Source organism: Homo sapiens, chromosome X (genome assembly GCF_000001405.40).
Source record: "Homo sapiens chromosome X, GRCh38.p14 Primary Assembly".
NCBI lineage: Eukaryota > Metazoa > Chordata > Mammalia > Primates > Hominidae > Homo > Homo sapiens.
Genome location: NC_000023.11, coordinates 3857593 through 3885274, shown reverse-complemented (window position 1 = coordinate 3885274; position 27682 = coordinate 3857593). Strand labels below are relative to the sequence as shown.

General features: G+C 49.9%; 1 non-coding gene and 1 pseudogene across 3 annotated transcripts in view; both read left to right on the top strand.

Annotated features, from left to right (window-relative positions):
- The first annotated feature begins 2923 nt into the window (after positions 1–2923).
- The window catches only part of FAM239A (family with sequence similarity 239 member A), a 31360-nt pseudogene continuing 6601 nt past the window's right edge, over positions 2924–27682 (top strand). Inside the window, exons 1-5 of one of the 2 annotated variants that reach the window (NR_146580.1) lie at positions 2924–3510; positions 17469–18353; positions 20133–20261; positions 21630–21773; positions 24279–24485. The product of NR_146580.1 is annotated as a family with sequence similarity 239 member A, transcript variant 1 (transcript). The remainder of the gene's footprint in view (positions 3511–17468; positions 18354–20132; positions 20262–21629; positions 21774–24278; positions 24486–27682) is intronic. The other variant, NR_146581.1, reaches the window with a different exon arrangement.
- Positions 8401–8474, top strand: TRI-GAT1-2 (tRNA-Ile (anticodon GAT) 1-2). Its single transcript has one exon. It is a non-coding gene; the product is annotated as a tRNA-Ile (tRNA).

Here is a 27682-nt window from a genome sequence, read left to right as displayed (position 1 = left end):
ACTACAGTTTCAAGATTTGTCAATTTTACGCCTTATGGTTATTGGGGATTTGGTCTTGAAACTGAGATTGCAGAATTATAAGAAATGTGAGAAATCTTGGCTGGGTGCGGTGGCTCATGCCTGTAATCCTAGCACTTTGTGAGGCTGAGGTAGGCAGATCGCTTGAGGTCAGGAGTTCAAAACCAGCCAGCCAACATGGTGCAACTCCGTCTCTATTAAAAAAAAAAAAAAATTAGCCAGGCATGGTGGCGGGTGCCTGTAATCCCAGCTACTCGGGAGGCTGAGGCAGGAGACTCACTTGAACCCAGGAGGCAGAGGTTGCAGTGAGCTGAGATCACGCCATTGCACTCCAGCCTGGGCAACAACAGCAAAACTCCATCAAAAAAAAAAGGAAAAGAAAAACAAATATGAGAAATCTAACGTGACTGACTCCATCTTCCATCAGACCTCACAGGCTAAATTGTTTTGTTTTTGCTTATTCTAGTGTGGCAGCCAAGATAACTGCGTGAGGAAGTTAGTTTATAGTTAAAATTTGAAGCCAGGTGTGGTGCCACCCAGCACCTTGGGAGACCGAGGCAGGAGGATTGCTTGAGCCCAGGAGTTGGAGAACAGCCTCAGGAACATAGTGAAACCCCTTCTCAAAAAAAAATTTACAAAAATTAGCCAGGCATGGTGGTGTGCACCTGTAGTCCCAGCTACTCAGGAGGCTGAGGTGAGAGGATCGCTTGAGCCCAGGAAGTTGAGGCTGCAGTGAGCCAAGATCACACCACTGCACTCCAACCTGGACAACAGAGCAATATTGTGTCTCAAAAAATAATAAATAAATAAATAAATAGTAAATAATTGTGTATATATATTTATACACACACAGAGAGAGTGAGAGAGAGAGAGAGTTAAACTCTGAGGCAAGGAAACTGACCCCACTCCTTGACTGCAGATTAAAGCCACATTCAGAAAACAAGGTTAGAATTACTGTAGGGGCTTGAACTTTGCTAAAGAATAGGCATAGTTAATCAATGACCTGCCATCACTTAGTGTGTTTTCATGTAAGTTGTTCACTGCACCAGAGTCATGTAACCAGGGATCACAAGATGTATAACTTCCCAAACTACTCTTGTAGATAACATTACTATTGTAAAACCTAAACAATGGTCTTTGAAATATTTTTCAGATTTAGCATTTTGGCAGACCAAGAGATGCCACCTGGTCCTGAGATACCCTCTCCTGGGAACTAACTCACCTGCAGAAAGACAGTTTTAGACACCCCTGAGATTTCATCCATAGTCTATCAGTTGTTGCAGTTCCCCAGGCTTCTGCCCACAAAAGTACCATGAAAAACCATAGTTTCCAACTTTTTAGGGAGACAGATTTGAGAAACCTCTCCTATTCTTCTCAATTAGCTGTCCCTGCAATTATTAACCTCCCTCTTTGCTGCAACATCTGCTGTTCTCAGTGCACTGGGTTTTTGGGGGGCAGCAGGAAAGAAGAACCCCTCAGACTGTGACACTCTCCTGCCTGCCTTTCCATCCAATCACAAATGTCCTTTCCCTCCTACCACATTCTTGTAAACATTTAGGTCACAATATTTGGTTTAAGAAATCATCAGTGTTTCCATTATAATGACCATTGCAATGATATTCAAAGATGAACCAGTGACTACAATGATTATGTTTTCTTTCTTTCCTTTTTCCTGGAGTTAGTAATTGCCTTTTTATTTTTTGGAGACAGGGTCTGTCACCCAAGCTAGAAGGCTGGAGTGCAGTGGTGCAATTATAGCTCACTGCAGCCTCAAACTCCTGAGCTCAAGTGATCCTCCCAACTCAGCCTCTGGAGTTGCTGAGATTACAGGCATGAGCCACTGCACTGGGCTGCCTTCTTTTTATATAAAATTTACTTAGTGCCTGAAACTATTTTATCCCAGTGCTCCAAAAGGCCTACCATGTGCCCCTAAATTCATCAGTTTTTCTAACTCCCATACTTTTTGTCCATTCATTCCTGCTCTTTCTTCCTGGACGGCTCCGTCTAGCATCTCTTGAACCCCATCTCCAACATGAACTGTTTGTCTATGGAACCTGGTGAATGGCTGTCACCCTGGCCACCAACTACACTTCTCTCCTCCACCGGATCTCCTAACTTTCTGAATCCACCTCTTACTTGTTCTCAGTTTGCGCCGTCCATTTTCTGAAGAACATCTTGTAGTAGCTGTCTAAGAAAAGGTGTCAACAAAAAGAGTCAAACTCTGTAAAATATTTGAAGAAATTTATTCTGAGCCAAATACGACTGACCATGGCCCATTACACAGCCCTCAGGAGGTCCTGAGAACATGTGCCCAAGGTGGTTGGGGTGCAGTTTGGTTTTATACATTTTAGGAAGGCATGAGACAGCAATCAAATACATTTGAGAAATACATTGGTTTGGTCCAGAAAAGAGACAAGTAGAAGTGGTGGGTGGGGGCGAGGGGGTGGAGGAAAGGGGGTTCCAGGCTGTGGGTGAATTTAAACATTTTCTGGTTGACAGCTGGTTGAGTTTATCTGAAGACCTGGGATCACAGAAAGGAATGTCTGGGTTGTGATAAGAGGTGGTGGAGACCAAAGTTTTACTATGCAGATGAAGCTTTTAGCTAGCAGGCTTCAAAGACAAGAGAGAACAGGTTGTAAAATGTTTCCTCCCTCCTGAGTAGCCGGGTCTGGACCTGTGCGCCTCTGCGCCTAAGAGGGTCGGGGCGGTAGGTCGCGGTGAGAGGTCGTCCTGGGTGCCACCCGAGGGGCGCCTCGGGCGCGGAGGGGGCGTGAGCACCTCCCCAGGGCCGCGCCTGCCCACGGTGGCGGGGCACGCCCAGGTCTCTGGCTCCTGGGCTGGGTCGCGGCAGGGGCGGAGCGCGTGCGAAGGCGACGCCCCCAGCCCCTAGGCCTCGCCCAGGCGGCTTCCGCCCGCCTCTTCAACGCGCACGCTGCTACCGAGCTGCAGGAGGCCGCGGGCGCGAGACTGGGAATGCGCAGGGCCCCCGCCTGGCTCTACAAGCCCGGGCCGCGGCCCCCGCCTTCCCCGCCGCCTCCCGGCGCTCCGTGCCCGCCCCACGAGGCCGGCGGCTGCTGCTACCTGGGGCCGTTGCTGCTTGTGCCGTGAGCGACGGCCAGCCATTGTCCCCGCCGCTCCGTCAGCCGCGCCCGGCCGCGCGCGCACCGGAAGGCGCATTGGCGTCTTGCGGGCTCCGGGCCGGGTGGGCAGGATGGCCTCCACAAGCCGCATGGCGCGCATGGGGAGCCTCCGTTGATGCCGCCGCGCCGCCCTCCGAGGCTGCATCCGCGGAAGCCCGGCTCCCCGAGCGCTCCGGCCCGGCCCGGCGCCCCGGACCTGAGTGCGTCCCCATGAAGGCGCCCGGGCTGGCCCAGGCGGCCGTGGCAGAGGAGACCCCGGACTGGGCGCCCGAGCTCTGCCCCAGCCCCGAGTCGCGGTCGCCGGAGCCGCCTGCCAACCGCCTTCAAGACTTCGACACGCTGGTCACCGTGGGTGAGTGAGTGCGCGCGGGGACTCGGCCCACAGGGGCGCGCGGCGCGGCCGGGACGCTGTCGTAGGACAAAGGGCCCCGGGTGCCCGCCTCCTGGGGAGGGCCCTGCCCCGCCGCTGCGGCTCGGGATCCCAGCGCGGGGCTGCCCCTGCGCCCTGGGTCTCCCTGGGGGGCGCTCGGAGAAGTAGAGCGCACCCCCCAGCCCCGGCGAGTCCCCCGACCGACCGGGTGCCTTCCCTGGAACGCCGACGGCTCCTGTCGGGGACCACCCTCCACCCCCAGCACACACAGCACTCTGGGGCCTGGGCCATCCGACGTCACCAAACTTCCTGTGGGTCACCTCGCCTGGGGTAAATCGTGCGCTCTCCCAGGCAGCGGCCCCAGGGACACGGGCGCGGGGTCCCTCAGGCCAGCCTCCCAGTGTGCCCAGCGGCAGGGTCCTCGGCGGGGAATGTACAGATTTCTCCAGGGGCTGCAGGAGCAGCTGGGCTCCGGGGTACAGGTGTTCCGTGGCTTTGTGGGGATGAAGACGGCGGAGTTGGGGACGGATCCTAACATGTCCTGACACCGCCTGTGCTCTTCGTCTTGTGCGTCTGAAATGGGTAATTCTTGTATTGGACGCTTTATCTCGTTTCCTTTGTCCTCTTTGAACTTAACTCCCAATGGGCAGCTTGACAGAGAGGTTTCGAGTTCTCGGTGCGCTTGGATCCGGACCACGCGCTGGTTTATGGGGCAGCCCTGAGTGGGTCAGAATATCCCAGCCGAACGTGGGCGCTGGATTTAAACAGTTGTCAGTGGTCAGCCTGTGCCTTCTTAGGGGGGTGTGTTGCTGGGACAGGTCTTCTCAGGCTCTCTAACTCCTGTTTGTCCTCTCATTTTGGACAGGAGGAAGCTAGGCTGGGAAGCCCAATGGCTCAGGGTTATAGCTTCTGGCTTAGGAAGACCAGCAGCCATAGCCCAGGAGCCTTCAGGCCTGCTGAGGAAGAGGGGACTGTGCTTCCTTCAGTGACCTTTTTGGCACCTAGGCCTTGAGGAAGGGGTCATGAGGAAACCCTGATTTTGGAAGGATAGTGGGAAGAGGGCCCTCTCTTTTTCTCCTGTCCCTCCCTTTCTCCTATTACATTCTCTCTCTCTCTCTCTCTCTTTCTCTTTTTGTCTCTCTCCCTCTTTCTGTGTCTTTATGCATTACTCTCTGTATTAGTCGTTTTTACGCTGCTGATAAAGACATACCCTAGACTTAGAAGAAAAGGAGGTTGAATTTCTTTTTTTTCTGAGACGGAGTCTTGCTCCTGTCGCCCAGGCTGAAGTGCAGTGGCGCGATCTAGGCTCACTGCAACCTCTGCCTCCCGGGTTGAAGTAATTCTCCTGCCTCAGCCTCCTGAGTAGCTGGGATTACAGGTGCGTGCCCCAACTCCTGGCTAATTTTTGTACTGTTAGTAGAGACGGGGCTTCACCATGTTGGCCAGGCTGGTCTGGAACTCCTGACCTCAGGTGATCCACCCACCTCACCCTCCCAAAGTGTTGAGATTACAGGTGTAAGCCACCATGCCTGGCCAGGAGGTTTAATTTGACTTACAGTTCCACATGGCTGGGTAAGTCCCATAATCATGGCAGAGGGCAAAAGGTACTTCTTACATGACGGCAGCAAGAGAGAATGAGGAGGAAGCAACAGCAGAAACCCCTGAAAACCCATCAGATCTCGTGAGACTTATTCACTATCATGAGAATAGCACGGGAAAGACCCGCCCCTATGATTGCAGTTACCTCCCCCTGAGTCCCTCCCACAACACGTGGGTATTCTGGGAGATACAATTCAAGTTGACATTTCAGTGGGGACACAGTCAAACCGTATAATTCCACCCCGGCCCCTCCAAATCTCATGTCCTCACATTTCAAAACTAACTGTACCTTCCCAACAGTCCCCCCAAAGTCTTAACTCATTTCAGCATTAACCCAAATGTCCACAGTCAGACAAGGCAAGTCCCTTCCACCTATGAGCCTGTAAAATCAAAAGCAAGCTAGTTACTTCTTAGATACAATGGGGATACAGGTATTGGGTAAATACAGCCATTCCAAATGGGAGAAATAGGCCAAAACAAAGGGGTTATAGGGCCCGTGCAAGTCCAAAATCCAGTGGGGCAGTCAGATCTTAAAGCTCCAAAATGATCTCCTTTGACTACAGGTCTCACATCAGGTGCAAGAGGTGGATTCCTATGGTCTTGGGCAGCTCTGTGCCTGTGGCTTTGCAGGGTACAACATCCCTCCCTGCTGCTTTCACAGGCTGACGTTGAGTGTCTGTTGTGTTTCCAGGCCTATGGTGCATGCTGTTGGTGGATCTACCTTTCTGGGGTTTGGACGACAGTAGCTCTCTTCTCACAGCTCTACTAGGCAGTGCCCCAGTAGGGACTCTGTGTGGGGGCTCCAACCCCACATTTCCCTTCTGCACTGCCCTAGCAGAGGTTCTCCATGAGGGCCTCACCCCTGCCACAGACTTTTGCCTGGACATCCAGGCATTTCCATACATCTTCTGAAATCTAGGCGGAGGTGCTCAAACCTCAATTCTTGACTTCTGTGCATCTGCAGGCTCAACACCACATGGAAGCTGCCCAGGCTTGGGGCTTCCATCCTCTGAAGCCACAGCCTGAGCTCTACGTTGGCTCCTTTCAGTCACAGATGGAGCAGCTGGAACCCAGGGTACCAAGTCCCTAGGCTGCACACAGCACAGAGACCCTGGGCCCAGCCCACAAAACCACTTTTTTCTCCTGGGCCTGTGATGGGAGGGGCTGCTGTGAAGGTCTGTGACATGGCCTGGAGACATTAGACTCCTTCCTACTTATGCAAATTTCTGCAGCTGGCTTGAATTTCTCCCCCCAAAAATGGATTTTTCTTTTCTACTGGATCATCAGGCTGCAGATTTTCAAACTTTTATGCTCTGTATCCCTTTTAAAACAGAATGCTTTCAACAGCACCCAAGTCACATTTTGAATGATTTGCTGCTTAGAAATTTCTTCTGCTAGATATTCTAAGTCATCTCTCTCAAGTTCAAAGTTCCACAAATCTCTCGGGCAGAGGCAAAATGCCACCAGTCTCTTTGCTAAAACATAATAAGAGTCACCTTTGCTCCAGTTCCCAAGAAGTTGCTCATGTCTATCTGAGACCACCTCAGCCTGGACCTTATTGTCATAATCGCTATCAGCGTTTTGGCTAAAGCCATTCAACAAGTCTCTAGGAAGTTGCAAACATTCCCACATTTTCCTGCCTTATTCTAAGCCCTCCAAACTGTTCCAACCTCTGCCTATTACCCAATTCCAAAGTCGCTGTGACATTGTTGGGTATCTTTTCAGCAATACCCCACTCCCGGTACCAATTTACTATATTAGTCTGTTTTTATGCCACTGATACAGACATACCCAAGACTGGGAAGAAAAGGAGCTTTAATTTGACTGACAGTTCCACAGGCTGAGGAAGTCTCGTAATTATGGCGGAGGGCGAAAAGCACTTCTTCCATGGTGGCAGCAAGAGAAAATGAGGAGGAAGCAAAAGCAGAAACCCTGATAAACCCATTAGATCTCATGAGACTTATTCACTATCACCAGAATAGCACAGGAAAGACCGGCCACCATGATTCAGGTACTTCCCCTGGGTCCCTCTCACACCACGAGGGAATTCTGGGAGATAAAATTCAAGTTGAGATTTCAGTGGGGACATGGCCAAACAATATCATTTTGTGTTTCTCTATTTCTGTCTTTCCCCGTCTCATTTTTTTTCTTTTCTTTTTTTTGAATGAATCATTGAAAATGACATTTGCAATTATTTCGGGATATACTTAATGACAGACTATTAAATGCAAAAAGGAAGACAGAATACACTTTTTCAAGCAAGGCTTTCCATTCCATTCATTTATTTATTCATCCCGGAGTGCTGGGATTAAAGGCAAGAGCCACCACTCCTGGCGCAAGGATTCCGTGTATATATATAGAAATACATGTGTACAGTGAAAGGAAATAAAAATGGACAAGAAGGAAGTCGAGACCCCTGCAGCCGTTATTTTTTGGGCAATAGGGAATTCGGTGGTTCTTTTGGCCTTTGGTTTTCTGGGTTTTCTGAGCTAGATTTAACCATGCTGAAAGGCTCTTGATACACGAAGTTGCCAGGCCTCAGGATTCTCAGAGTTAAAACCAGCATTGAATGGGAATGTTTGAAAACCTCACTGCAGAGCCAAGCCTCCCATGTGCAATTTGCATTTTCCCTGTGGAAGCCTGCGGTTCCCTGTAGGAAGCCGCCTCCCTTCTCCTTGAAGTCTCCTAGGTCTCAGTTTCTGCATCCACCCAATGGGGATGACAGTGAGGCGGTCAGAAGTCGCAGCTGGGGCCAAGCGGGGAGGCAGCCAGTGGCGCGGGCTCTGCAAGGAAATCAGTCGCGGGCCGGCGCGAACACGGAGCCCTTTCAGACGCTCGGGCAGCACTAGATGGTCGGGCGGTCGGTTATCTCAGTTGGTGAGCGCGTGGTGCTGATACCGCCATGGTCGCGGGCTTGATCCCCGCACCGGCCCTAGTCCCAGTTTTTTGTTGGTTTGTTTCTTTGTTTTCTCCCCATGAACTGTTTCTGCAACTCTTTTTCAAAATGCGCCTTTCAGGTTCTGTAAGCCCCATGCGGGCAGGAGCGACTTGCGGGATCTCTTGGACTCGGCCCAGAGGTTGTCGAGGACAGCCTGGCAGGGAGGAGCGGGAGAAACCCGGCCAGCGCTGGGGCGGTGGCTCCTCCCCGGAGTCCCCGCGGCTGGGGCAAAGCGGAAGGCAGCCAGAGGCGCGCGGGCTTGGCGAGGAATCGCTCGTGGACGGGCGCGAACGTGGAGCCCTTTTATACGCTCCAGGGGCACTGTGCCGTCGGGCGGCCGGTTAGCTCAGTTGGTAAGAGCGTGGTGCTGATAACACCAAGGTCGCGGGCTCGACTCCCGCACCGGCCACGGCGTTAGCTTTTTTTTTTTTTTTTCCCCGCCGCCACCCCGCCATGAACTCTTTCTACAACAGTTTGTGAAAAATGCGCCTTTCGGGTACTGTGAGCGGCGTGCGGGTAGGAGCGAACTGCAGGATCTCTTGGTCTCCCCGCCCAGAGGTTGTCGAGGGCAGCCTGCTGGGGAGAGCGGGAGGTACCAGGCATGCGCTGGGGCGGTGGCTCCGCACCCGAGTCCCTGCACCCTCCGCCACCTGCAGGCCACTCAGGATATCCAAAGCGATCCACATCTCCGGCCCTCAGCCCCCACCCCTGCCGCCCCCGCGCTTCCTGAGGCTGTGGCTCCCCTGGAGGAATCGCCCAGTGAAGACGGGTGCTCCCAGATGTCACCGCCTCGTGTTCCCTTGGCCGCCTTGCGGGGAAGTCTTAGGGTTGAAAATCCAGGTCTGCAATGAATGCATTCCACAGATGGTGTGTAGGGCTACTGCATGCCCAGCACCGTTCTAGGCGGGGAGCAAAGCGGTAAGTGAGACACAAATCCCAAGCCACGTGGAGAAAGTGACCAGCCAGTAGATGCCTGCCATGTTTTTAGAGAGGCGTTCTGGTTGTGGAAGCCTCTGGAAACCTTCTCTTGCTCTTCCCCCCCACCCCCCGTTTCTTTTCAGAGACATCTTAGGCTTCACATTTCTTCCTCTTGGTTCTGCATTTTGCAGCCAGAGCAAGTGGATGAGTTTCTCGCTGGTGGTTCAAGTTTCTGGGGTGGTCAGGTGTGCTCCGTTGAACGAAGCCAGTTGTGTAGGGTCAGTGCCATTTTCTGTCACGATCCAGCAGGGGCTCCACCTGCTTTTGAAAACTCTCCAGTGGAAACATCTACTAACTCTGACCTAAATCAGTAGCTGCTCAAAATCTACAGACTACTGGCTTAAAACCTTGGTAAGTGCCCAGGGTGTAGTGAAAGTTCTCAATAAACGCCGGCTGGTGGCGCTGCTGCTACTATAAGCAACGTTAGGAGAGCCTGGGTCGGCTGACACCTGCAATAGAAACCTGTACGCAACAAGTTGGATGTCACATCTTGCAGTAGTCGTGCCGGGTTAGATGCAGGGACAGAGCACGGAGGAGTCGGTGGAGGCTGCTGCCCTCAAGTTTCCTGAACTTGAAGGGGTTTAGAATGTGCCACGGTGGCGTGAAAATTATTTTGAGCAGAAGGCATTTGAATTCCTGAAATTTCTTGTCTGCTGAAAAGCAGAGCTTCCCAAAAGATCTCAAAAGAACTCAGTTGTCATAAATCCCTTCTTGGGAAGGAACTAGGAAAGATTGACTTGGGCCAGGCGCAGTGGTTCACGCCTGTAATTCCAGCACTTTGGGAGGCCTAGGCAAGTGGATCATCTGAGCCCAGGAGTTGGAGACCAGCCCGGGCACCATGGTGAGATCCTCTCTCTATTAAAAAAAAAAAAAAAAAAAAGAAACGAAAATTAGCTGGGCATGGTAGCGCATGCCTGTAGTCCGAGCTACTCCAGAGGCTGAGGTGGAAGGATCACCTGAGCCCGGGAAGTCGAGGTTGTAGCGAGCTGAGATGGCGCCACTGCACTCCAGCCTGGGCAACAGAGTGAGACCCTGTCTAAAAACAAACAAACAAAAAAAAATGTGGTAAGATACCCATCATATGAAATTCACCATTAAAAAATAGCAGGGAGCATCGTGAATGCGAAGTATTGATGAGGATGATGGTGATGTTCCAGAACCTTCTCTGACACCAGCCTGGCGCCCCCCCCCCCCCCCCCAGCCTTACCTTTCCTGGCTTCATGGTGCTCATCATACTGTACTGCAAATGCTGGTTTCCTCCTTCTCGCCAGCTAGACCCGTGGTACCCCACAGGGAGGGAATGGCGACTCACCCACCAGGCGCTTAATAAGTGTTTGTTGGCCAGTGGACCTCCTACGCTCCCTGGGGAGAGGGACTGGGACTGGGACTGGGACTGGGACGTGTGTACACACCTGCAGCTACAAGACTCGGTGGGGAGGGTGCACAGAGCCTCGACCCTGTAAGAGAGGCGATCGGGCTGAGGAAGACGGGGCACTGGGGCTGGATGGATGGGACGGACATGTGGAGAGGGTGGGTTCGTGGATTTGTTCACCCGTTCATTTATTGGTTTCTATGCATCCATCCATCTTTCACGCCTTGAGCGTGCGTTCTGGGCAGGGCCTGTAATGGGCACCGAATGAGTAACATATCGTCTCTCCCTTCAAGGTACACGCAGCCTGGGTGGGTGAGGGGAGAGACGGTAGGGTGACATGGGAACAGTTTGGGGGTTGGGAAGCGCTCTTGTTAAAAATTCAAACTTTGGGTCCCCTCTCAGATTTATAAACCTAAACGTTTGCTGGTGGACCTAGGACTCCGCGTATCCAGGCAGGATCCTCCGCTGATTGGGGTGCACGATGACGTCAGAACACGTGGATAACGTGATAACTTGTGGGCCAGGGGCTTTGGAACCTCAAAGAATGTGATAACTTTTGGGTCAGGGGCTTTGGAACCTCAAAGACCTCCGCCTGGGAGATCGGGGACAGCTCCCGGAGGAGGTGACATCTGAGTGTTAAACACATCCGTGACAGGCAATGAGAAAATAAGGTGGGTCCGCTGTGCTGATCGGCCCTAGGGGCCGCGGCGGCTGTCCCGGCCGGGCAGCGTCGCCTTCCGAGGTGTCTTGGCCTGCGGGGCACTCGTAGCCCGCCGCTTTCCCAGGTGAGGCACGTCGTCGCCCAGCGACCCAGGTTGGAGTCCCCGCTTCAGCCGCCGCGGCGGATGCGGCGGCCAGGCTTCTCCGGGCCAGGGCAGCGTTGCACGTGTGGCCCCGCTGGGCCCCGAGCAGCTGCGGCAGGTCCTGAAGCGGGTGACGAAGGCGCAGCTGCTGCCGCCGCGGCCCATCAGGCCGCCCTCCAGCGGGACCCTGGCGCCGAGCCCCCGTGCCCGCCACGCCTGCTGCCGCCCCAGGTGAGGCTCCGGGAGCGACGTGGGGAAACTGAGGCCCGGAGGGGGCCGAGGCCCCGCGGCGGGGTTAGCTGCTTGGCCGGGGTGGCCAGTATCCGGCCCCAGTCAAGACTCAGGGTGTCCCGAAGCTGAGCCCCTTAGGGACGGCGTTCGGCCCCCACCTGCCACCACCCTGGCGTTTTCACCCCAGGAGCCTCACTTGAGGAGCCGATGCTCACGCTGGGCCCTCTGCCTGGGACGCCGTCGTGCCCTCTCTGCCTCCACAGCCCTGCCCGGGGCTCCCCTGTGCTGCCTAGCTCGTCTGACACGCCTTTGACCACTCGTTCAGCCTCTGTGGGGCACTCAGAGACGGGGTTGCCCGCACTCCCACCTAAGTGCAGGAGGTGCGGCCTTCAACACACTCGAAGAACGAACATCAGGCAGGTTCTGGGAGGGACAGGGGGCCGCTTTAGAGTGGGTGGGCCCGTAGGCCAGACGCTGCCCCTGAGACCTGAATGAATTAAAAGGAACCAACTGAGCTTTTCAGGTCTCAGGCACAGCAAGTGCCACGGCCCAGCATTTTCTTCTCTTCATTGCTGCTTCTCAGCATTTTCTTTCTCTCTCTCTCTCTGTCTCTGTCACTGTTTTTGCATACAGATACTATGCTTTTGGGGTGGGTACTCTCATTGTCCTTCCAGGGGTCCTACACGGCGTCTGTAAAATTCCATCTCATTTCATTGCTGGCGCTGTAAATAAAATTAGTCTTAACCCAAAATTGCCAAAAGAAGAGGGCTTTTTCCACTAGAAGAGATGCGTTAGAGAATAGAATCAGCGATCTTCACTCCTGAGTTTTTTCGACTTCACTCGTGATTTTAGCTGCCTGGGGTTGTTGTATCCAGTTCATCATCAAGAGTGGAGAGTTGTCTTGCTAAGGTTTAGGAAGGCAAGTATGATTCTGCCCAAATGCCACACTATCTAGAGGTGTGACCTTGGGCAACTCGACCTTTTTGGACTGTGGTCTGGGTCCGAAGGCTGCAAGACGCCATCCCGGGACAGCCATCTGCTGAGCCTCTGCTCTGTGCCGGGCAGTGTTCTGGGTTGCTTAGCTCGCAGTAGTGTTTTTGTACCAGCATTTTGCAGGGAGGTTGAGTGGCTTTGTCCAAGATCCCTCAGGTGTGGCTGCTCTCCAGAGCCCTTGTTCTCCCCAGCACACCCTGCTGTATGTGGCCACAGCTTTTTGGGTTTGGAATGGAGTCAAAAAATGACATACTTTTCATAAAGTAAAAGCAAACTTAGTCAAGATCAGGCAGCATGATGGGACTTATTCTGTAGCTAATCTGATGGAGACGTATAAATTCTACCTCCAATAATGTACCTTTGTAGCACATTCTGCGAATACTTTTTCAGCCCCAGCTGTGTCGTGGAAGCCACGAAGTCAAACCGGATGTGTACTTTGCCCCTCAGTAGCTGATGAACTAACAGGAGATAAAACATGACCCAGATACCTGCTAATCAAGGCCTGAAAGCTAGTGATGAAGAACTAAATGTAGTTAGAGAAAGGGAGATTGTTTCTGGCCGAGGAAATCACAAGCAGCTTTGTTGAAGAAGTGGTGTCTGAACTAGATTTGAAAGGGTGAGTCTGAGTTGAAAATGCAGAAGAGGAGAGGCAGGTTCTGGAGCAGGTGGCGGGGTGCATTTCAACAACCACAGCAGACTGCCCAGTGGTTCGCTGTGGGGGATGGTGTGGATCAGAAGCACAGACCAGTGGACACACTTGGGTCAGATGGAGGCCCCTGTCTCTCCGCATCTTCCCTCTTCCCACCCCCCAGAAATGTCCAGTTCCATCCAACATGCCAACCCCTTTTCATGCATCCATGCATGTACACATTTTTCTTTGTACTCAGAATGCCCTACCTGGCAAAAATTCCCAGCCTTCAAAACGCCCCTCAGAGATCACTGCTTCTGGTCTGTTCTGCCTCTTTATTGCACCTGTTGTACCATGATGACATTTTTCCCGTCTGCCTCACCTGTCTGCATTCCTTAGGGAAACTTGTCTGCCTTCGAAATCGTCAGCGGAGCTTTTGAAAGGGCAGATCGGGTCTCCGACCCAGGAGATCGATTCAGCAGGTCTGCGGGGACTGAGGCATGGCAGGGAAACTGCCCACCATCTCAAGGGTGAGGCTAGGAGTTGGCTAGTGTGTATGTATTCCATCCAGAAATATTTAGTAAATGTTCACCAAACAAAATAAAAACACACAAGAAAGCATGAGGCGTAATACCCACGGGGTAAGCCAGTCAGGATAGAGGATGAATACATTATTAGGCCGGCTTTGCTGCTGTGGTTATCCTAAAACAATAGGGTTTAGGTTGTGTGTCTGTGTGTATATGTATTTTGTTGTTGTTTTGGGGTTTTGTTGAGACAAGGTGTTGCATTCTCACCCAGGCTGGACTGATCACGGCTCACTACAGCCTCAAACTCCCAGACTCAAACGATCCTTCCCCCTCAGCCTCCCGAGTATCTGGGGCTACAGGCATGTACCATCAAGCCTAATTTTAAAATGTTTTGTAGGCGGGGCTCGGTGGCTCACCCCTGGAATCCCAGCACTTTGGGAGGCGGCGGCGGGTGGATCACCTGAGATCAGGAGTTTGAGGCCAGTCTGGCCAATGTGATGAAACCCCGTCTCTACTAAAAATACAAAAATTAGCCAGTCACGGTGGCGCATGCCTGCAATCCTAGCTACTAGCGAGGCCAAGTCAGGAAAATCGCTTGAACTCGGGAGGCAGAGGTTTCAGGGAGCCAAGAATGCACCACTGCAGTCCAGCCTAGGCAACAGTGAGACTCTTTGTTTTGGGTTTTTGTGTTTTTTTTTAACATTTTGTAGGGACAGGGTCTTGCTCTGTTGCCCAGGCTGGCCCTGAACTCCTGGCCTCAAGCAATCCTCCCACCTCAGCATCCCAAAGCACTGCTACTGCAGGTGTGATTTGTGTTTGGCCCTTAGAGAGAGATTCTGTGTGATTGGTAGTAAAATGAAACAGACATCGTTCTTGAAGGATATGCACAGCCAATCTAGTTGTCATTTGATTTGCACGTAGCCCAGGAATGGGGACTCCCAGGGTTGTGGTGCCACCTCGGTACACTTGACCTCTGTTATTTGTACTAGTGTATAACAAGAGCCAGACGAGAGACACACTCCAGCCTGATCTCAGTGAGGGTCTTTATTCTGTCCTGTTTGACATTTTTATTGACTTTCTACTGTTTGAGGGTCACACCAGAAGGTTGAGTCCAAAGAGGGCCAGTTGGTGGTCCCAAATAAGTGGTTCTCAACCGAGGACAGTTTTGCCCCACAAGGGGCACTTGGCAATATCTTGTCAGGACTCGGGATCACTACTAGCATCTAGTGGGTAGAGGCAGAGATGCTGCTGGGCATCCTCCAGCCACCCATGTCAAAGGATTATGTTCTGAAATGTTGGTTGTGAAATCATGCTCTGGATGACGAGGTTTGCCTCTTTTTCTCCCTGGAGGAAAATGCTCATTATTTCTGCTCTGTGAGGGCAGGAGCCTTGTTTCTTTTGCTTCCTGACCTTCTCCCCTAAGCTGTATGAGAACTGTTTCTCTGACACCTGTAGCAGTGTCTCATGCACATGGTCAGTACTCAATAAATATTTGTGGGATGTTGTCGAAGGTAGCTCTCCCCTTTGGTAGGTGTTTTGCTATTACAGACAGTGCTGCCTTGAACCTCATAGAACATAACATCTTTATGGCCATCTAAGTTTTTTTAATTTTGGAATCCAGGAAGTAGAATTACTGGGTCAAAAAGCACATGTATTTGAAATTTTGTTAGATATATTTGTAAAAAGTTGTTGAGGATATTCAGCCCGGCCGGGCACGGTGGCTCACGCCTGTAATTCCAGCACTTCGAGAGGCTGAGTGGGGCAGATCACTTGAGGTCAGGAGTTTGAGACCAGCCTGGACAACATGGTGAAACCCTATCTCTACTAAAAATACAAAAATTAACCAGGCGTAGTAGCACGTGTCTGTAATCCCAGCTACCCGGGAGGCTGAGGCAGGAGAATCACTTGTACCTGGGAAGCGCAGGTTGCAGTGAGCTGAGATCATGCCATTGCACTCCAGCCTGGACAACAGAGCAAGACCTTCTCTCAAAAAAAAAAAAAAAAAAGAAAAAGATATTCAGCCCTACTCCTAGATACATGCCCCTGGAGAAACTCACACATGTACACACATACATCCGTGGAGATTCAGAGCAGACCTTAGAGCAGAAGGTTGGAAAGTACCCATCCATCAATAGGAGATTGGTAAACTCATACTGCAGAGAAAATCAACCCCTGAGAGCTACACATGTCAATGAGGGTAAAATTCACAAAGCAAAATGGAGTAAAGAAACCTGAAAAAAGCCCTATCAAGTTGCAGGAGATGATATCATTTCTATAAAGTTTTAAAGCATTTCAGAACTGAACTGTATATTTTTAGAAATATCTGCATATGCCATGTAAATATTTAAAAAGCATAAGAATGCTGAACAGCACATTCAGGACAGGGTGAAGAAACGGGCATGCAGGTTGGGCAGGAGGATCCTGGGTAACATTGTCCTTTATGGCTTTTTTGTGGCTTCTAGAATTTCATTAGAAACTTTTTTAAAAACATGGTCCCACATTATGAATTACATCTGATTTTAGAGTACTAAAAACTCCAAGCAAAAACACATGGGTGAAACTGTTAAGAAGGCTCTTATTATCTCTTAATTCATCATGAAATCAACTTAGTGGATTATGACTAGTATTTTTTTTAAAGTGATGTAGATTAGGGTCAGTGCGGTAGCTCACACCTGTAATCCCAGCACTTTGGGAGGTCGAGGCGGGCGGGTCACTTGAGTTCAGGAGTTTGACACCAGCCTGTCCAACATGGTGAAACCCCGTCTCTACAGAAAATACAAAAATTAGCCAGGCATGGTGGCGTGTGCCTGTAATCCCAGCTATACAGGAGGCAGAAGCAGGAGAATCACTCGAACCTGGGAGGCGGAGGTTGCCATGAGCTAAGATCGCGCCACTGCACTCCAGCCTGGGCAACAGAGTGAGACCGTCTCCAAAAAAAAAAAAAAAAAAAAAGGTGATGTAGAAATGAAGAATAGATACAATCAGCAGGCATTTACATAGGAATGCTAAGTAGTTCCATCAGCTTTTCATTTATGTATGCAAATATTTATATACGTGCATACTAGGTCATAATGTAAAATGTGTCACTGTGGTCTGTTTTTGTTTTTTGTTTGTTTTTGAGACTGAGTCTAGCTCTGTCACCCAGGCTGGAGTGCAGTGGCAGGATCTCGGCTCACTGCAGCCTCTCCGCCTCCCAGGCTCAAACAATTCTCCTGCCTCAGCCTCCCAAGTAGCTGGGAGTACAGGAATGTGCCACCACACCCGGCTAACTTTTGTATTTTTAGTATAGATGGGGTTTCACCATGTTGACCAAGCTGGTCTGGAACTCCTGGCCTCAAGTGATTCAGCCTCCCACAGTGCTGGGATTACAGGCGTGAGCCACCGTGCCCGGCCATTTTGTTTGTTTTTTGAGATGGAGTCTCGCTCTGTCACCCAGGCTGGAGTGCAGTGGCGCGATCTTGGCTCACTGCAACCTCGTCCTCCCAGGTTCAAGCGATTCTCATGCCTCAGCCTCCAAAGTAGCTGGGATTACAGGTGTGCACCACCACACCCTGCTAATTTTTGTATCCTTAGTAGAGAAGGGGTTTCACCATGTTGGCCTGGCTGGTCTTGAACTCCTGACCTCAAGTGATCTGCCCACCTTGGCCTCCCGAAGTGCTGGGATTACAGGTGTGAGCCACTGCGCCCGGCCTGTATCACTGTGGTTTCTGGTCAGAAAGGTCTGAAAAACAGTTAATACAAACACGTTACATAAATTGTATATGTAAGACGTAATTTAGAAAAAATGTCAGTAGTGGATTTACTATGAGAGCAGAATTGCAGACATGTTGATAAGCACAATGCTTCTTTTCCCTTTCTTGTCTTTCTGTAGGAAAGCAACTAGAAGCCATTTGTGTCAAGGTAACGTCTGGAGAAACAAAAGGTCAGGAACGGCCAACGTCCCTACTGGCCACAGTCTAGCCCCAATCTGCAAGACAGAGCCAGCCGCCCCGGGGGAATTCCCGCCTGGTGGGACTCCACGTCACCAGCCCCCAGCTGCTCAGGGTACAGCCCCTCGTGAGAACCGAGCCACAGTCATGTTTCCTACATCAGCCTCCTGCTCAGGGGTTTGTACAGAGACCACTGCCAGCCCTCTAGGTGGTCCCTGCAAAGAAAGTCCCAGCTCCCAAGGCTCCAAATGGACAGGGCACCATGTTGACCCCTTCGTTGGCCTCCAGTTCGCCGACTGTAACATGTTTCATCCAGTTCAGGACGTTTATTTATTTCCAACTTGCATACAAAACATACTGAGAAACTAAAACCATCGTTAAAAGTGAAGACACGTTGAGACAGGTATCTCGACCTGCCAAGTATACAGCTAAAGCTGAGTTCATAAAAAGGGATGATTTGGCCGACGGTCATCTGCCAGATTCTGATGATGATTCAGAAGTCAGTGTGGAAGAAGATCAGAGGGAGAGGCAGGCGCTCTTTGACTTATCAAGCTGCTCCCTGAGGCCCAAAAGCTTCAAGTGTCAGACTTGTAAAAAGTCATATATAGGGAAGTGGGGACTGGCCCAGCATTTTAAACTTAATCCAGGCCATGGCCAGCTGGACCCTGAGATGGTGCTATCTGAGAAAGCCAATGGGAGCACCCTCCGGGGGTGCACAGAGGAAAGGACGCTCAGCCTGACCTTCCCGAGGCTGTCCGTGCCAGCGGCTCCGCGTGAGGGAGGGGCCCGCTCCTGCTTGGTGAGAGAGTCAGCACGCGGTGGCCTGGGTAATGTTTGCATCTGGGTGTCGTTTTCGGCCATTCTCACACTGTTATAAAGAAATACTTGAGACCAGGTATTTTATAAAGAAAAGAGGTTTAGTTGGCTCACAGTTCCACAGGCTGTACGGGAAGCATGGTGCTGGCATCTGCTCAGCTTCTGGGGATGCTTCAGAATCAGTCACGGTGAAGGCAGAGTGGGAGCAGGCATGTCACGTGGCCACAGCAGGGACAAGGGGCCGGGGTAGGTGCTGCACACTTTTTTTTTTCCTTTTTTTTTTTTGGAGACGGAGTCTCGCTCTGTAGCCTAGGCTGGAGTACAGTGGCGCGATCTCGGCTCACTGCAAGCTCCGCCTCCTGGTTTCACGCCATTCTCCTGCCTCAGCCTCCCGAGTAGCTGGGACTACAGGCGCCCGCCACCGCGCCTGGCAATTTTTTCTATTTTTAGTAGAGACGGGGTTTCATCGTGTTAGCCAGGATGGTCTCGATCTCCTGACCTCATGATCCACCCACCTCAACCTTCCAAAGTGCTGGGATGACAGGCGTGAGCCACCGCGCCCGGCAGGTGCCACACACTTTTAAACAACCAGCTATCATGAGAGCAGCACCAAGCGGATGGTGCTAAAGCAATGAGAGATTCAACCATATCAGTCCTTATTCCTGCCTCTGCCTGCCCATCATCCTTAAGTTGACCTTTACAATGCCTGATGGGGACTCAGGCGAAGGCTCAGGCAGAACCAGAATCATTCTTGTGGAAGATCTGAGACCCCTCATGTTGTCTGCACTGCTGCCGAACAGGCTGGAAGATGCATGTCTGTGTGTCGGCATGATTTAGTGAGCAAATCTGATGGGAACGCAGCCGTTTCTTTAGGTTTGGTCAGTAAAACCAATGGCAGTGCACTCTTGGCTGACGCTGCCATTACAGAGGGTGATGTTGAGAAAGGCAGTCCCTGGGGATGCTTCCGGTGTGTCAATAGCCTCTGGCTGCTTAGCGTGTCCTCTCCCTCCTGCCCCTTCTGAAACTCCCGATAAAGCAGGTGTGAGTCGCTGTAAGTTTGCATTATCACATCAAAATTTTTTTTCCAACATATTTTATTGTAGTAAAATATACATAGCATAACATTTACCATCTTAGCCATATGTAGGTGTGTGGTTCAGGGGCACTAAATACATTCACGATGTTGTACGGCCATCACCCCCACACATCTCCAGAACTCTTTTCATCTTGTACAACTAAAACTCTGAGCTTCAAGTTGGGGTAAGCGGGGCAGTGGGGGGACTAAAACTGTCCCCATAAACACCAACTCTCCATTCCCTTTTTCCCCAACCCTGGCAGCCACTATTCCACTTTCTGTCTCTATGATTTTGACTACGCTGCTTTCTTCACAGAAGTGGAATCACAGAATATTTGTCTTTCTGTGACTGGCTTATTTCACCTAGCACAGTATTCTCAAGGTTCATGTTGTAGAAAGTGTCTCAGTGTCCTTTAAGGCGGAGTAAAATTTCACTGTGCATACCACATTTTGCTCATTCATTCATCTGTCAATGGACACTTGGGTTGCTTCCACCTTTTAGCTATTATGAATAATGCTGCTGTGAACACGGGTGTTCAATTACCTCCTTGAGGCCCTCCTTTCAATTTTTTGGGGTATATATCCAGAAGTAGGATTGCTAGATTTTAAGTGGAATTTTCATTTTCTTTAGTTCCTTTTCAGACTGTTCATTGTTTGTTAGTATTTAGAAATGCAGCTGATTTTTGTCTATTGACTTTTTTTTTTTTTTTTCCAGTCTCACTCTGTCGCCCAGGCTGGAGTACAGTGGAGCAGTCTGAGTTCACTACAACCTCCACCTCCCAGGTTCAAGTGATTCTCCTGCCTCAACCTCCCGAGTAGCTGGGACTACAGTCACGTACCACCAGTAATTTTTTTATATTTTTAGCAGAAACGGGGTTTCACCACGTTGGCCAGGCTGGTCTTGAACTCTTGACCTCAAGTGATCCATTCACCTTGGCCTCCCAAAGTGCTGGGATTACAGGTGTGAGCCACCGCACCTGGCCTGTGTATTTACCTTGTATGCTACTACATTGCTGATTTCATTTATTAGGTTTTTTTTTTAATTCTTTTTTAAAAAAGAAAAAAGAGACAGAGTCTCGCTCTCTTGCTCTGTCGCCCAGGCTGGAGTGCAGTGGCACAATCTTGGCTCACTGCAACCTCTGCCTCCAGGGTTCAAGTGATTCTTGTGCCTCAGCCTCCCAAGTAGCTGGGACCACAGGTGCCCACCACCATGCCTGGCTAATTTTTGTATTTTTTTGTAGAGATGGGGTTTTGCCAGGTTTTGCCATGTTGGTGAGGCTGGTCTCGAACTCCTGACCTCAAGTGATCTGCACACGTCTGACTCCCAAAGTGCTGGGATTATAGGCACAAGCCACCATGCCTGGCCTCATTTATTAGTTCTAACGTGTGTGTGTGCACACACGCCCTTTAGGCATTTCTACTTATAAGATCCTATCTGCAAATAGAGATAATTTTACTTCTTTCTTTTCAATTTTGATGCCTTTTATTTCCTTTTCTTGCCTAAGTGTGCCGGTTAGAACTTCTAGCACTGTGTTGCATAGAAGTAATGAATGCAGACATCCTTGTCTTGTTCCTAATTTTAGAGGAAAAGCTTTCAGTTTTCACCATTGAGTGTGATGTGGCTTTTTCATATATGACTTTTATTATGTTGAGGTAGTTTTCTCTATTCTTAGTTTGCTGAATGTTTTTAATCATGAAAGCGTGTTGAATTTTGTCAGTGCTTTTTCTCCATTAACTGAAAAAATCATACATTTTTGGAAATGGAAATGCAGCCACAAATAATGGCCAGCCTGGGCTCTCCTGGTGCCCACTTGCCCCAGCCGGCCTCTTACACCCCGGGCTCTGCTCCACTCTGAGGCTGCAGCCCAGACTGCCTGTGCCCCACACTTACCATGGATGCAGGGTCAGTGCGCCCCTCTGGAGCTGACAGCCCAGCCTGTGCCCAGGACCTTTCTGCCTTCCCTTCCCGCCGTGTCCTGAGAGCTCACCGTGCCCTCTGTGGCCCCGACCCCAAGGCTTGTTTGTTTCTTGGCCTGCTCCTCCCTGCCCTGCGCCATACGGAACACACAGTAGGTGCTCACTGGGGAGTGAAGGAAACGCCCACCACTGAGTGGCTGCTCAGGGGCTGAGAACCGAAACTTTGTTTAGGTTTTCTTCTGTGTTTTCCTTGCCTCAGGTTTAAACTTTTTTCTTAATCTTTATCTTCACAAAGGTTGAAAAAGATCATCTAGCAAAGCCTTTTTTCCCAGCTACATATAAGGAATTTGAAAGTCGCATAAAATGGTTAAGAAAATGTGCCAAGATTACCTCAGTAATTCTGGTCTGTGTTCTCAGGAGACCCTGGAAATAAACAATGGTAAGGTACAATCTCCCATGGCAGAAAGAGTTTCCCTCAGAGTTAGCCAAAACAAGGGCCAGGCGCAGTGGCTTACACTTGTAATCCCAGCACTCTGGGAGGCTGAGGCAGATGTATCACTTGAGGTCAGGGGTTCAAGACCAGCCTGGCCAACATGACAAAACCCTAATACAAAAATTAGCCGGGCATGGTGGTACATGCCTCTAATTCCAGTTATTCAGGAGGCTGAGACACAAGAATTCATTTGAACCTGGGAGGCGAAGGTTGCAGTGAGCTGAGATTGTACCACTGCACTCCAGCATATGCGACAGAACGAGACTGTCTCAAAAAAAAAGTCCATGAATGAAGGAGAATGTTTTTAGTAATGATATTTTCCTAGTCAGCCTCATTTTAGCTTCTTCCCATCAAGTGAAATTTTTTTTTCTTAAAGCAATAAATGCGACCGGGCGCGGTGGCTCACGCCTGTAATCGCAGCACTTTGGGAGGCCAAGGCAGGTGGATCACAAGGTCAGGAGATCAAGACCATCCTCCTGGCTAACAAGGTGAAACCCTGTCTCTACTAAAAAAAATACAAAAAATTAGCCGGGCGTGGTGGCATGTACCTGTAGTCCCAGCTACTCAGGAGGCTGAGGCAGGAAAATCGCTTGAACCCAGGAAGTGGAGGTTGCAGTGAGCCAAGATCATACCACTGCACTCCAGCCTGGGCGACAGAGGGAGACTCCGTCTCAAAAAGAAAAAAAGCAATAAATGCTCTTCCAGAAAACTCAAAAATGAAGATAAGCTAAAAGAAAATGGAAAGCACCAGAATACCAGAATCTTTCCACTCACTGATGATCAGAGTTAATACCTCAGGTACCCTTTTCGTCTTTCTGTTTTTGAGACAAGGTTTCACTCTGACTCTCAGGCTGAAGTACAGTGGTGCAAATACAGCTCACTGTGGCCTCGATTTCCCAGGCTCAAGCAATCCTCCCTTCTGGGCCTCCCAAAGTGCTGGAATTATAGGCATGAACCACTACACCCAGCCCTGTTTTCTTCTTTACGTGGGTTTTTGGGGATGGGTTATATAGGAGCCATTTCATTATTGTTTGTGGTTTTTCTGACACAATTCTCATTTCAGTGTCACTGTTACCATCAAACTGCTTTTAGCTACATTGGATTTTTTGGGGTTTTTTGCATAGAGTCTCGCTCTGTCGCCCAGGCTGGAGTGCAGTGGTGCAATCTCGGTTCACTGCAACCTCGGCCTCCCGAGTTCAAGTGATTCTCCCACCTCAGCCTCCCCAGTAGCTGGGATCACAGGCACCCGCTACCATGCCCGGCTAATTTTTGTATTTTTAGTAGACATGGGGTTTCACCATGTTGTCCAGGCTGGTCTTGAACTCCTGATCTCAACTGATCCACTTGCCTTGGCCTCCCAAAGTGCTGGGATTACAGGTGTGAGCCACTGCGCCCAGCCCCTGCTGCGCTTTAAGCAGAGAGAAAAACACTGTAGTCATAAGAGCTATTAAATACAGTACATAATTTTAAAACATTTTTGAAACACAGAAAACACATACTTTTTTGATCTCAGGAAGGAGGAGGAGTTAGTAGGGGAGGCTTGCACCCATCCATGCTTCTGAGCGTGCACTCACACATGCATGCACACTACCACTCATTCACATACACTCACACACACTTGCACTCATGCCCTTTACACTGTGCACATTCAGATCCACACCATGTACACTCATACACTGGCAAACCCACACATGCATCACACCCCTACACTTGCACTGTCACATGCACACTTAAGCACGTTCACACCCTCATGGTTACACTCACACACACAGCCTCACATATGCACACTCACTCAACACTCATACATACACATTTACATGCTCTCATTTATACACACTGATACATCCACACACCATCACACTACACACACTTTTACATGCTTTCACACATACCCGTTGGATATGGACACACCCACAAGCACTCATTCCCACACATGCTTGCACTGCACACACTGACACACTACATGCCTTCATAGTTGACACACACTTCCATGCACATTCACTCACCTTTTTGCACACTCATTCACACTCCCATCACACTGACACACTTCTGCCTGTCCTCACACGCCTACACACTTGCCACACACACTGAGTGTTCCATGCACACTCACACATCCTGCGCAGTCACTAACTTACCCTCATGACCACACACACACACACACAGACTTTCAAATGCACTCATCCACAGACACATATTCTCATATGCATACGCACTTGCACACACACCCTCGCACGCTTGTTCACACTCCCTGACATGCAGTCACACTAGCCATCACTCATGCTCACACGCATACACACTCACACCCCCTTTGCACACACACTTCCCCCACCCACTCACCCCAAGCCCACCTGACAGGTGACACACTTTACCTGCAGGCTGGGATGGCTGGTCCTCTGCCTGGGCTTCGAGGTTCCTTGGGGGCAGCGGCTCATGCTGGTTTTCCCACTGCAGTGTCTTCTGTGGCTTCAGCGTCACCTAGTGCAGGCTGCCATTCAACAAACGCATTGTCAACAGTCAACCAAAAGAAACCCATTGGCCACCATACCCTGAGGACTAACCCTGACACAGATGCCCTTCCAGATGCCCTCAGTAGTCTAACTGATTCCATCGCCCCAGCCTTGGGGGAGAAGCACTGCTGCCTATGCACTCCATTTACAGGTGAGACTGGGAGAGGTTTAGGGAGTGGCCAAGTCCCCTGCCTACACAGCTGCCTCCCAATCTATCTTCTCACCCTCCCCCTTCTCAGGCTAAAATCACACTCGATGTTTTTATGGGATCATTTGATCTGGACATTGTCAAAGAAAAAATTGCACCAGACAAGTTAAACCTTCAAGGAAGGACTCAGTCAGGACTACTGCAATACGGAAGAGAGAAGGAGCTTAACTTTGTTGAAACAAAAGGCTGGAGAGTTTTTAAGTGCCGGGGTGAGATGCTGAGAAGGAACTGGAGACATCAGGAAGAGGTTAGGAAATGCTGTAAAGCTATCTGCGTTGGCTCATTGGAATTTTTCAAAACTAGGAATCTGCCCTTCTACAAAAACTGAGACACAGATGTATCATCTCCTTCAATAATTGCATTTTAAAGGGATGGCTCTGAAGTCTTGAGAAAGGCATTCCTGGGTTGCAAAACTAGGAAGAGGCTAGAAGAAAATTTGGGAGAAGATTTGCATCTCAAAGAGATAGAGAAAGAACTCACAATTGCAAGTTTCCTAAAATAAATCCTCCGTGAAAAAAGGAGGCCTGATGGATGGAACTGGAGGTCATTATGTTAAGTGAAATAAGCCAGGCACAGAAGAAAAATACTGCATGTTCTCACTCACATGTGGGAGCTTAAAACCTGGATCTCATGGAGATAGAGAGTAGATTGGTGGCTACCAGAGGCTGGGAAGGGAGCAGAGAAGGGAGATAAAAATAGTTTGATTAATGGATGCAAATATCTTAGGTTTTTTTGGTTTTTTGTTTTGTTTTTTTGGAGACAGGATTCTGCTCTGTTGCCAGACTGAAGTACAGTGGTGCGATCATAGCTCACGGTAACCTTGAACTCCTGGGCTCAAGCAATCCTCCTACCTCAGCCTCCCCAGTAGCTAGGACTACAGGTGCATGCCACCATGCCAGGCTGGCTTTTGTGTTTTTTTTTGTAGAGACAGGGTCTCACTAGGTTGCCCAGGCAGGTCTCGAGCTCCTGAGCTCAAGAAATCCTCCCACTTTGCAAATATACACTTCGATAAGAGAAAAAAGACATAGTGTTCAATAGATCAGCAAGTGACTGTAGTTTACAATAATCTATTGTACATGTCTTTTCTTCTTCTTTTTTTTTTTTTATTTTTTTTTTTGAGACAGAGTCTCGCTCAGTCACCCAGGCTGGAGTGCAGTGGCATGATCTCCACTCACTGCAGCCTTGACTTCCCAGGCTCCAGAGATCCACCCACCTTAGCCTCTTGAGTATGGGACTACAGGTACACAACACAACACCTGGCTAATTTTTGTATTTTTTGTAGAGACAGGGTTTCGCCATGTTGGCCAGGCTAGTCTCAAACTCCTGGACTCAAGTGATCCACCCACCTTGTAGCAGGATGAGCCGCAGACAAAACCTCTCAGACCCCGAGTTGTAGAAGGAAGGGCTTTATTCAGCTGGGAGCATCGGCAAGCTACTGCCTTAAAATCCGAGCTCCCCGAGTGCACAATTTCTGTCCCTTTTAAGGGTTCACAACATTAAAGATTTCACATGAAAGGGTCGTGATTGATTTGAGCAAGCAGGGGGTACGTGACAGGGGCTGTATGCACCGGTGGTCAGAGAGAAACAGAACAGGGCAGGGAGTTTCACAGTGTTCTTCTATACAATGTCTGGAATCTATGAATAACACCGGTTTCTAAGTCATGAGTTGATTTTTAACTACTGGGTGTAGGCCAGGCAGGCCCAGGCCTGGTTTCAGGCCTGGCACCGAGCTGCCTGTCTTTGGTTTTACTTCCTTGCTGTTTTTGCTTAAAACAGGTACTGAGTATAAAACAATATAAAATAATATGAGAGGGTCTTTCTCTTCCTTCAACCTCGGCCTCCCAAAGTGCTGGGATTACAGGCCTGAGCCACCGCACCCAGCTATCTTGGTGTTTTTAACCTTAATAACGACAAAGTGCATCCTCGATATGGTCTCATCCCCCTTGCTGTAAGCACGTTAAAATGCTGTTATGACGTGCATTCAAGCGATCAAATGGTGCTAACATCAATGCCTTTGCCTGCAGAATTAATTCAGGGGTTTATTTGAAACTCAATAAAAAAGGCCTAATGTGCAACATTCGGCAGACAAGAAGCCATATGCAGATACTTTCTTTTAAAATAACAGGTCATTATTTGGTTCTTTCTCATGTGAGAGTCAGATGACTCAGAGCCAACATAAATTCCAAGTGGTATGCAGAAAACCAGTGCATAGCTGGAGAGGGGAATGAAGGTTAGTATCTGCAGTAAGGCTGAGTCGATGCAAACGGCCACACGGTCATGGATTCACAATGATCTGGGTCTCCATCATCCTGCAAACCAACACCTTGCACAGCCTTCAAACACCAGCTGGGAAATCAAAAGTAGCATGTGCAGTAGCAGGAGATCTGTTCACCCTCTATTTCCTCTCATCTCCATGCGGCAATCTGTGAACGGAGAGAAGCCTTTAAGCTCTGGGGTCTGCTGCTCTGCAGAGACAATTTGCATTTCTCTCAACACTCCTGGAATTCTTACTGGGAAACCCAGGGTACCTGGGAGCTCAGGCCATCCTGTGTCCTTTGGGATGTCAGGAGGAAGCAGAATAGCCAGCTCCCAAATGGAATACTGCAAAATGCTCACTTCTCAAGGGTCTGTTTTGGGTTTTGTGTTGTTTTTTTTTTGAGACAGGGTCTCTGTCACACAGTCTGGAGTGCAGTGGCATGATCCCGGCTCACTGTAACCTCCACCTCCCAGGTTCAAGGGATTCTCCCACCTCAACCTCCCAAGTAGCTGGGACTACAGGCACGCACCACCACACTCAGTTAATTTTTGTATTTTCATTTTTGGGGGTTTTTTGGTAGAGACAGAGTTTCACCATGTTGGCCAGGCTGGTCTCAAATGCCTGACCTCAAGTGATCTGCCCACCTCAGCCTCCCAAAGTGCTGGGATTACAGGCATGAGCCACCGCGCCCGGCCTCCTTCAAGGGTCTGAATCCAGCCAGTGAGCTTGCCCTACATCATGCCTGCTTCATCCTATGCAATGGAGAGAGGCTGAGATTTTATTTTAATGAGAAAATCTATTGAATTGCATTACATTAAACTAAAATGGAGAGACACAAACATAAAAAATGAAATAAAAATCCAGAAATTGCAATAGTAGGTAA